This window comes from Homo sapiens, chromosome 17 (genome assembly GCF_000001405.40).
Source record: "Homo sapiens chromosome 17, GRCh38.p14 Primary Assembly".
Classification (NCBI taxonomy): domain Eukaryota; kingdom Metazoa; phylum Chordata; class Mammalia; order Primates; family Hominidae; genus Homo; species Homo sapiens.
Genome location: NC_000017.11, coordinates 50,868,910 through 50,880,740, shown reverse-complemented (window position 1 = coordinate 50,880,740; position 11,831 = coordinate 50,868,910).

Genomic DNA, 11,831 nt, shown 5'->3' with positions numbered 1-11,831 from the left:
ATATATATATAATATATAATATATAATATATATAATATATAATATATAATTTATATATTTATATATAAATTATATATAATTTATATATATTTATATGTATAAATATATATATAATATATATAAATTATATATTATTTATATATAATATATATATAATATATTTATATATAAATTATATATAATTTATATATATTCTTTTATATATATGAATATATATATTCTTATATATATATGAATATATATATATATATTTTTTCTTATTCTTATTATTTTGAGACAGGGTCTCGTTCTGTCACCCAGGCTGAGGGAAGTGGGGCAATCACAGCTCACTGTAGCCTTGACCTCTCGGGCTCAAGTGATCCTCCCACCTCAGCCTCTTATGATGTATACCTCATATTTCCTTTTCTTGTCTTATTAAAATGGCTAGTTACTCCAGGCTTGTTTAATAATGGCAATGGTACCAACCCTGTTTGTCTCAATACTGACTAATGGCAATGGTATCAACCCTGCTTGTCTCAATACTGACTTTAAGATGTTTCTAGGCCAGGCACAGTGGCTCACGCCCGTAATCCCAGCACTTTGGGAGGCAGAGGTGGGCAGATTACTTGAGGTCAGGAGTTCGAGACCAGCCTGGCCAACATGGTGAAACCCCATCTCTACTAAAATACAAAAATTAGCCAGCCATTTTGGCAGGCACCTGTAATCCCAGCTACTTGGGAGGCTGAGGCAAGAGAATTGCCTGAACCTGTGAGGTGGAGGCTGCAGTGAGCCGAGATCACAACACTGCACTCCAGCCTGGGCGATAGAGTGAGAATCTGTCTCAAAAAAAAAAAAAAAAGTTTCTAACACTTCCCCATTAGTACAACCTTTGCTGTAGGTTTCTGATGGATACTTTATCAAGTTAAAGACATGTCATTCTCTATTTCAAAACAAAAAAAGAGTTTTGTTTTTAATCATGAAAGAGTATTAGATTTCGTTAAATGCTTTTTTGGTTGCATCAGTTGAAAAGGTCATTGCTCCCTTTTGGTTTATTAATATAGTGAATTGCATTAACAGATATCCTAATGTTGAGCCATCCTTGCATTATACTTTTAATACACTCATCCAATTCGCTAATATTTCATTTAGGATTTTAAAATCTGTATTCATAAGCAAATTTAGGCTTTCGTTATTGATTGATTGGTTGATTGATTGAGACCGGGTCTCATTTTTTTACCTAGGCTGAAGTGCAATGGTGTGATCTTGGCTCACTGCAACCTTGACCTTCCAGGTTCAAGTGATCCTCCTGCCTCAGCTCCCCAAGTAGCTGGGACTACAGGTGCACACCACCACATCCAGCCAATTTTTGTGTTTTTTTTTTTCTAGAGACAGGGTTTTGCTATGTTGCCTAGGCTGGTCTCAAACTCCTGAGCTCAAGCCATGTGCCTGTCTCGGCCTCCCAAAGTGCTAGGATTATAGGCGTGAGCCACCGTGCCTGGTTTTATCTTCTGTTGTTGTTGCTCAAATCATTGTCCACTTTGGTATCCATGTTATACCAACTCGTAGAGTGAGTTTATAAGAACTTCAAGACCTTCATGCTTCCCTAAGCTCTGAAAATTCAAATACAGGAATTTTTTTGGCAGAGCTTACCGTAAAACCACCTTGGCTTTGTGTCTTTTTTGGAGGTAGATCTTAAACCAGTTTTTTTCCATTGTTGGTGGTCTATTTAGGTTTGATACTATTTCTTAAATCAATTTAGATGATTTACATTTTCCTTAAGGATTGTAAATTTAATGTAGTTGTACATAGTATGCTCTTAATCATTTAATAAGCTCTGTTTGGTTTTTTTAGTTTTTAAAAATTTTTGTAAAGGCGGGGTCACACCATGTTGCCCAGGCTGGTCTCGAAGTCCTGGGCCCAAGCGATCCTCCTGCCTTAACCTTCCAGTGTTGTGATCACACCATTGCACTCCAGCCTGGGCATAGGGTGAGACCCTGTCTGAAAAAAAAAATGCAAGTAAAGAGATGTTTTGCTATATTTGTTGTTAATTTCTAGCTTTAATGATCTATGAACAGTATAGGTCATAAGGTTTTTATTTGGGGGAATTTATGTAAATTTTCTTGGTTACATATTACACAGGCAATTTTAAAACTAGTCCATGGGTTGTTGAAAAGAATGTCTATATGTGGAAAGTCCTATAAGAACACCGATATCTACCAAGTCAAGTTTATTAATTATGTTAGCCAAAACTTTAATTATTACTTAACTGATACATCAATTTTTTCTTCTCTGAGTTCTTTAGTTATTTCCTTCCCCTTGGTCTCTCCATTCTTAGTTTCTGGAATCCCTGTGTTGGTCAACATCGAATCTCTTGGAGCTAGTTTACATGTCATTTAACATTTTTTGATTTTAACCATATTGAGAATAGAAGGATAATGATTTGGCTTTAGAATCCAAATGCCACTGAGTATGTGAAATCAGCTGGCAATTGATTGTGTAAGTACCACTCAAATGATAACATTTAACAGGTTAATAAAACAGCACAAATTGGGGAAAACTCATTGGGATGCAAATGATCAAATAGCAGAATGCTGAACTTTATGAAAAGTCAGTTCAGTCAAATATTTACTAAGCATTCTGTGGATGGTGTAGGCACAGGGCAGTAGAAGCTACTGGCCTGCTCTCATGACAATGCAGGCCTCTTGGAGAGACAGGACACACACCCATGCAATACAGTTATGCAACATGGCATAAATTATTTGACCAGTGGGAGATGGGAACCAATGGATGAATTCTCCCCTTTCTTTTCTCACATAAAGGGATACAGTTTATAGGGCTTCTTGGAGGACTAATCCATGGAATCAAGCAATTTTACTTAACAGCAATTGGTTTAATAACGCAACCTGAAATAGGTTCTCCTCCTTTGCTGTTTTACTCTCTTTGCCCCTCTCTCCTGCTTCCTGGGATTTCACTCCCTCTTAAAGTGGTAGCAAACTGAGGTTAGGAGTTCGACACCAGCCTGGCCAACATGGTGAAACCCCGTCTCTTCTAAATATACAAAAATTAGCTGGGCGTGGTGGCAGGAACCTGTAATCCCAGCCACTAGGGAGGCTGAGGCAGGAGAATCCCTTGAACCTGGGAGGCGGAGGTTGCAGTAAGCTGAGATCATACCACTGCACTCCAGCCTGGTTGAGGACAGAGTAAGACTCCATCTCAAAAAAAATAAAATAAAATAAGGCCAGGCGCAGTGGCTCTCACCTGTAATCCGAGCACTTTGGGAGGCCAAGGCAGGTGGATCGCCTGAGATCGGGAGTTCAAGACCAGCCTGACCAACATGGCAAAACCCTATCTCTACTAAAAATACAAAATTAGCTGGGGTGGTGGCACGCGACTATAATCCCAGCTACTCAGGAGGCTGAGGCAGGAGAATCGCTTGAACCCGGGAGGCGGAGGTTGCAGTGAGCTGAGATAGCACGATTGCACTCCAGCCTGGGCGACAGAGCGAAATAAATAAATAAATAAATAAATAAATAAATAAATAAATAAAAATAAAAAATAAAGTGGTAGCGCAAAGCCCTTTGCCTTGGGCTCTGCTTGTTTAGGAACCTATGCTAAGACAGCCTGTAGCTGAAAGTCCAGGTAAAGTTGATTCAAGGGCTGCTCAAAAGGCTGTTTCCAGGACTTGGTTTTTCTTGGTTTTACCTGGGTTAGCTACATTCTCTGACAGGCTCTCTCCTTTTGGTACTAAGATGGCCCTGGGAGCCTCAACAATGAATACTTCCAGGTTCATATTTCATGGGAAAGAGTCCTTATCCCAAGACCTCAGACAGAAGTCCCAGAATTGAGTTATTGGCTCTGATCAGCCATCCCTAAACCCATCACAGTAGTTAGGAGAATGTGATGCTTTCGCTGGCTTTTGCCTTGTCAAGAGTCTCACTGGAAGCTCCTGGATGAAGGGTGGGAGAGGTATAGGTTCTCACACAAAAATCGCAAGTCTCACTAGAAGCTCCTGGATGAAGGGTGGGAGAGGTATAGGTTCTCACACAAAAATCGCAACTGTTGCTGGAAGAAAGGGGAACAGATGTTGTCTAGGCTAACAACAAGGAAAGGTGGAAGTAATCAACCCTCCTGGTACCACAGTAGAATTTTCTACAGAAAGGTTTTAGTTTTTTCAGAAACCGTAAGTTTTTTTTACTTAATACCTTGCCACATAATCTTTTATTTTTTCTTTTCTTTTCTTTTTCTTTTTTTTTTTTTTTGTGACAGAGTCTCGTTCTGTCACCCAGGCTGTAGTGCAGTGGCATGATCTCGGCTCTCTGCAACCTCCATCTCCTGGGTTCAAGCAATTCTCATGCCTCAGCCTCCCAAGTAGCTGGAACTACAGGCACGCACCACAACAGCTGGCTACTTTTTGTATTTTTAGTAGAGATGGGATTTTACCATCTTGGCCAGGCTGGTCTCAAACTCCTGGCCTCAAGTGATTCATCCACCTCAGGCTCCCAAATTGTTGGGATGACAGGCCTGAGCCACCGCGCCCGGCCAAAACTTTTCCTTTTGTTCCCAAGTGGATAGAAGTATTGGTCTCCAGGTGGGGTCTGTATCTTCCTTAAAAGACAGTAAGTATTTCTTCTTCAGAACAACCAAACAATTGAAGAATATTCCATTGGGTGATAAAACTACGTCTAGCAATTGAACACACATTGGCAGGGCAATTCCTAAGTATCAAGTAATGTACTATGCTCTGGGGCATTTAGAGATAAATAAAATGTGCTCCAAACAGAATTCCAATAATGTCATTTCCCAACTGAAAAATCACCCAACATCTTCCCGTCTGTTAAAGGCAAAATTCCAGATTTCCTCCCTTGGTAATCTGGCCTCTGCCTACCAACCAGCCTCCTCTCTAGATTCTCACCTCTGAACCATCCACAGCAGCCACTCTGAGCCACTTACCCTTCCTCAAATATTCTGTGTTCTTTCATTGGATTAAGCAGCGACCTAGCAAAGCCATCAGTCAATACTGATTGACTGCAAGGCACTATAAAGCTCGTGTAAAGGTACATGCTTTCTGCTCTTAAAAAGCTTGGAATCCAACAAAGGCTAGGACATAAACACACGGAAGGCTAAATAAACTAATAATTAAATAATAATATAAAACATCAAGCCATGGGATTCTGAGAGGTTTTTTGAAGGTGAAAAGGACTGAGTTGGCAACACTGTATCTGACAGAAGAGAGTGTTAATAATACTTGTTTGTAGTTTAAAAGCAATTTCACATGTATTTTTACTTGAGCTGAATCAAATGGTACTTGAATTTCTGCCAGATGTAAGAAGCAGAGAAGGAAGAGAAGGAGGAGAGGAGGAGGAGAAAGTAGGGAAGGAGGGGAAGAGGGAGGGGGAGAGGAAGGAAGAAAATATTCACATTTATGGGGGGCTTGACGGTTCATAGAGCGTTTTCACAGGTGTCACCTCAATTGATTCTCACACAACTCTGAGGGTAATTATTGCTTCTAATTATTTATAAGATGAGGGCTGAGACTCAGAGTAGCCATACCCAACTAATACCAGGTGGCAAGACCCAAACACAAATTCTCTAATTTTGAATTCATAATTTTTCTTCTCTGCTCCACTGCAGCTGAGATAGGAAGTGGGGGCCATGTTAGGATATCCAATGTTAATACAATGGGCAAAGTCTTAAAAGTCAAAAGGAAATATTTGAAGTAGTTATTAGTAAACAGTGTGAAATGTGACAGAAAGGTCAAGAAGACAGAGGCCTAAGTAAAAATGATTAGAACTGTTTTTGTTTGTTTGTTTGTTTTTGAGAAAAGGTCTTGCTCTGTCACCCAGGCTGGAGTGCTATGGAATGATCACTTGCCGCTTGGAACTCCTGGGCTCAAGGGATACTCCCACCTCAAACCTCCTTAGTAGCTGGGACTACGGGTGCTTGCCACTACACCCTACTAATATTTTTATTTTTTTTGTAGAGACAGGGGTCTCGCTATGTTGCCCAGGCTGGTCTCAACCTCATGGCCTCAAATGATCCTCTCTCCCATCTCAGCCTCCCAAAGTGCTAGGCTTATAGGTACCACTGTACCTGGCTTGCTTTTTTTTTTTTTTTAAGCATTTATGGATAACCCAGGAGTTAGTCAGGACCTTATAAAGTGAAACAGTAGATTGAAAAGCAAGGTTCTAGGCATCAAAATCACATGTTTAAAATGTTTGGGCAAGTTCTAGAGTGAGGTTTATGACCAGGATCCTCTTCAGCCACGTATCTGTACACAATATGCAAGATACTCATACAAATTGAAGCAAAACACAAAGACCTCTAAGAGAAACATGGAGAAAAGGCATAGATAAAAAATTTATAAAAACAGTAGTACAACGAGCTGACAAACATGTCAAACTCTATTCATCCTACATGTAATCAAAGAAATAAAAATTAAACAACAGATATCATTTTACCTACCAAATTAGCCAAGGATAGAAAAAAATTTTTTAGTAGGCAACGCTGGCTAAAAATGTAGTGATTTTGCAGTGCGTATCCTCTGGGAAGGTAAAAAAGTACAATCTCTCTGGAAGGTGGATTGTCATTATGTTACCAGCCTTAAAAAATATTCCTTCTCTTCCACTCGCTAAGTTTGCTTATAGAATCTAGCTCAGGGAAATAGAGAGGTAGCTAAAGATTTACATATAAAAATGCCTGTTAAATATGTTTGTTTTTAATACAGAAACATTTTCAACAACTTAGATGCCCAGCGATGGTTAAATAAATTATTCTAAATCCATAGAGTAGAATATAATATGCAGTCATTAAAAATGATGATTGTGACAAATGCTTAATGTCAGGAGAAAATAGGAAAAATGTAATGTTAAGTGAACTGCAGGATAGAAAATTGCGTGTGTGATAGAAACTCATTCAGAAAGAAATGGAGCAAGATGGTTAGCACTGCATGGAGAGATTAAAGATGATTGCTATTTTCTTCTTTATTTCTATGTGTTCCAAATTTGCTATAATGAGCATTTCCAGGTTTTATAATGAGAAAGAAGCCCTGATATTTTAGATTAGAGGAAAAATTTATTTTGGCTTTTTTGAAAATCAAGTTCAGGTTTCCTTAAAAGATGTAAAATTAGTGTTTTTGCTGGAAATACTTCAGCTGCAAGTCATGGAACACTTAATGTCGGTTAAAAAGTGGACCAGACCTAGGCAGTGACTAGCATTGGTGAGAACCCCTGTCCCTGTGATTAACTTGCGTTTTATTCATGGTTTATTCAGTAGGAGCTGCTGCAGCTCCTGCCATGAGATCCATGTTCAAGGCAGGAAGAAGAGAGAAGTGACCCAGTGGTGATTTTTAAAAATGGCCTCAAATTCTTTGACACTCCTCCATGAGAGGTGGTGGTTATGTCCCCTCCCCTTGAATCTGGCTGGTGGTTACTTTGACCATTAGGGTGTAATGGAAGTGGTGCATTGTGACTTATGAGACTGGGTCATAAAAGGCCATGCAGCTTCCTTGGTGGCAGCTTCCATGGTGGCAGCTTCCATGGTGGCCAGGCATGGTAGCTCATGCCTGTAATCCCACTGCTTTGGGAGGCCAAGGCAGGAGGATTGTTTGAGGCCAGGAGTTTGAGACCAGCCTGGGCAACACAGCAAGACCCTATCTCTAGAAAAAACTTGAAAAAAATGGTTTTAATTTTTAAAAAGTTCACTCTCCAGAAACTGCTCTGCTTCCTCTCAACTGCCACGCTGTAAGAAGCCCAAACCACAGGGGAAATTCAGAGGCCATGTGGAAACGCTCCAAACAACAGTGCCAACTAAGCCCAGCCCTTGAGTCACTGCAGCCCAGGTGCTAGACATGTGCTTTGAAAAAGCTTCCAGGTCCATGCTGTCCAATTCAGAAGCTGCTGTCCACATGTGATTATTTAAATCTAAATTTCATTAAAACTAAATTAAAGTAAAAATTCAGTTCCTCAGTCACACTGGCCACATTTCAAGTGCTCAAGAGCCGCATGTGGCTATTATATTTGACAGCACGGATATGGCATATTCCCATCACTGGAGGAAGTTCTGTTAGACCTGCTTCAGATGATACTTGAGCATTTGAGCCTTTCCAGCTGAGGTTCCAGACACTATGGAGCAGTGATAAGCTATCCATCCCCTTGTGCCCTGTCTGAATTTTTTTTTTTTTTTAAGACGGAATCTCTCTCTGTCACCCAGGCTGGAGTGCAGTGATGCTATCTTGGCTCACTGCAACCTTTGCCTCCTGGGTTCAAGTCATTCTCCTGCCTCAGCTTCCTGAGTAGCTGGGATTACAGGCACAAACCACCATGCCTGGCTAATTTTTTTGTATTTTTAGTAGAGAGGGGGTTTTGCTATGTTGGCCAGGCTGGTCTCGAACTCCTAACCTCAAGTGGTCCGCCCTCCTTGGCCTCCCAAAGTGCTGGGATTACAGGTGTGAGCCACCAGGCCAAGCCTGAATTTCTTACCTACAGGATCCAAGGGTATAATAAAATTGACCTTTTGTGCCACAGTAAATGCGTGTTTTGGATAGTTTTTCATGCAGCAATAGTAACTAGAACAAACCTCTCTGATAGGAAAAGCATAGCACCCTCAGAAACCATCCCAGCTGACTTCTGTTTACATCTTATCTGCAGAACAGTGTCACAGTGCCACCTCTACTGCAATGAAGCCTGGGAAAACATGCATTTAGCTCTTCTAGCCTCTTTAGTCAGGAAGAAAAGGGAATGAGGATGGGGCATGGGAAACGGGTGAGCTGGCAACAGTGTCTGCCACAATTGGTTATATATATAAAATCACATTCTATTTTAGTAAGCAGAGCTGCATAATAACATATGCAACCCATGCTTTAAATGTATTTAAAGTACTCTAATAACATTTGCTCTCAGAGTACTTTATATAAATGTTCTTTGTACTTAGAATGTCATGAACACCGTATCACTCCTAGAACCCGCACTATAATCTCTTTACTGAAATCAAAATCTTCCTCCTCGGCTAATGGAAAGAAATTGCAAGATTTGGTTTGGATTTTGTTCATCAAGATAATAGAAAGTGAGCAAATTATAAGGAAACATTCTCCTATCAGACCACGTTGCTTTAGTAGGCTTGTTCAACATTATCTAGTTATCTTTTAATTACAAATGTCTGTGTGCCAGTGTCTTCTGGAGACTATATAGCCCTCCACTACAAACCCATGTGAAAAGCCACAGGAAACCACACTGAGGTTTCCTCAGACGTAACTGGATTGCCTTTTTTTGAGAAATGTTTAGAAGAGAACTGGTTTACTTGGTTTTCAATAACTCAATGACTAGAGCATGATTTAAAAAATTAATTTTAGGCCAGGCATAGTGGCTCACGCCTGTAATCCCTGCAGTTCAAGACCAGCCTGGCCAACACGGTGAAACCCTGTCTCTACAAAAATACAAAAATTAGCTGGGCATGATAGCGGGTGCCTGTAATCCCAGCTACTCGGGAGGCTGAGGTGGAAGAATCACTTGAACCCGGGAGGCTGCAGTGAGCTGCACTCCAGCCTGGGCGCAGAGCGAGACTCTGTCTCAAAAAAAATTAATAATAATTTTAAAATGTGTGTGCTATGATTTATGTTGCATGACCGTTTAAAAAGAAATAAATAAAAATCACAATAAGAACATTATGGGGTTTTTTTGTTGTTGTTAGTTTGAGACAAGGCCTCCCTCTGTTGCTCAGGCTGGAGTGCAGTGGCACGATCACTGCTCACTGCAGCCTCGACCTCCTGGTCTCAAGAGATCCTCCTGCCTCGGCCTTCCAAGTAGCTGGAACTACAGGTGTGCGCCACCACGCCCGGCTAATTTTTAAAAAATAAAAGAAAATAAAATAGAAACGGCCTCGCTATGCTGTATAGGCTGGTCTCCACCTCCTTGTCTCAAGAGATTCTCCCACCTCAGCCTTCCAAGTAGCTGGGACTACAGGTGTGCATCACCACTCCCGCCTTTTTTTTTTTTTTAAATAAAATAGAGATAGGGGTCTCACTGTGTTGCATAGGCTGATCTCGAACTCCTCGGCTCAAGGGATCCTCCCGCCTCAAGCCTCCTAAAATGCTGGCATTACGAGCATGTGAGCCACCTTGCCCTGCCTGTCTTATTTTCAAATAAAGGTAAAAGGTTGATTCCTTAGAAGTGAAATGAGTCGGCCGGGTGCGGTGGCTCATGCCTGTAATCCCAACACTTTGGGAGGCCGAGGCGGGCGGATCACGAGGTCAAGAGATAGAGACCATCCTGGCCAACATGGTGAAACCCCATCTCTACTAAAAATACAAAAGTTAGCTGGGAGTGGTGGCGCATGCCTGTAGTCCCAGCTACTTGGGAGGCTGAGGCAGGAGAATCACTTGAACCCGGAAGGCAGAGGTTGCAGTGAGCCAAGACTGTGCCACTGCACTCCAGCCTGGCGACAGAGTGAGACTCTGTCTCAAAAAAAAAAAAAAAAAAAAAAAAGAAGTAAAATGAGTATTAATAATTATACACCATGTGATAGCTATTCTCCTGTAACCCTTTCTCAATTTACAAGGAAGCATATTAAGAATTAGAAAACTTAGGATGTCTCTATCTCAGAAATCAAGGTGTTGCATGTGTGTGTTCTTGTGTGGATTAGGTAATAATTCAAGGCACTTTCAAGAACTGTATTTTATGAAGATATTGGAAGTTATTTTTTACCAAACGATTACCTTTATTGTAAGGGCCCACTGGGAATTGTGTAGAATGTAGGGATGTGAAAGGCAAAGGCTGTAGTTTCTAGTGACTGTTATTTGCTCAGAGAGAGGAATACCTCTTGATTGTGATACACTTGGAGCCTAATATCAAATTCTTTTTTCCTCCATAAGTCTAATTCCCTGCACAATTAGCAGTTAGCCCTCCACTCCCCTGCACAATTCCAAAGTAAATGTTAGATAATAATAAGCCATATGCAGAACTTGGATAAAGAACATTTTATACCTCGTGACTGGCAATGTTCAGAGATGTGAATCAGTTTTCCCTTTTATTTGCAATCCATATATATGTATTTTTTTTCTTTTTTGAAACGAAGTTTTGCTCCTGTTGCCTAGGCTGGAGTGCAATGGCGCGATCCCAGCTCACCGCAACCTCCGCCTCCCGGGTTCAAGTGATTCTCCTGCCTCAGCCTCCCGAGTAGCTGGGATTACAGGCATGCGCCACCATGCCAGGCTAATTTTGTATTTTTAGTAGAGACAGGGTTTCTCCATGTTGGTCAAGCTGATCTCGAGCTCCCGACCTCAGATGATCCACCCACCTTGGCCTCCCAAAGTACTGGGATTACAGGCGAGAGCCACCGCGCCCTGACTTGCAATCTGTATTTGAAGAACAGCTGCAGTATATATGTTAGGAACATTGAGTTTTAAGGGCGGAATATTTTATTTATTTATTTTTTTGAGAGAGAGTCTCGCTCTGTCGGCCAGCAGGAGTGCAGTGGCACGATCGCGGCGCACTGCAACCTCCATCTCCCAGGCTCAAGCAATTCTCCTGCCTCAGCCTCCCAAGTAGCTGGGATTACAGGCGTGTGCCACTACACCCGGCTAATTTTTGTATTTTCAGTAGAGACGGGGTTTCACCGTGTTGGCCAGGCTGGTCTCAAATTCCTGAGCTCAGGTAATCTGCCTGCCTCAGCCTCCCAAAGTGCTGGGATTACAGGCGTAAGCCACTGCTCCCAGCCAAGTGTGGAATTTTTTTTTAATTGAAGGAGACATTAGATATGATCTAATTCAACCCTTTTTATAGGTGAGAAAACTAAAAGTTTATTGAAACTGGTGTGAAACTCAGACCTCCCAGTACCCACCCTTCATTGCTTTTTCCAGT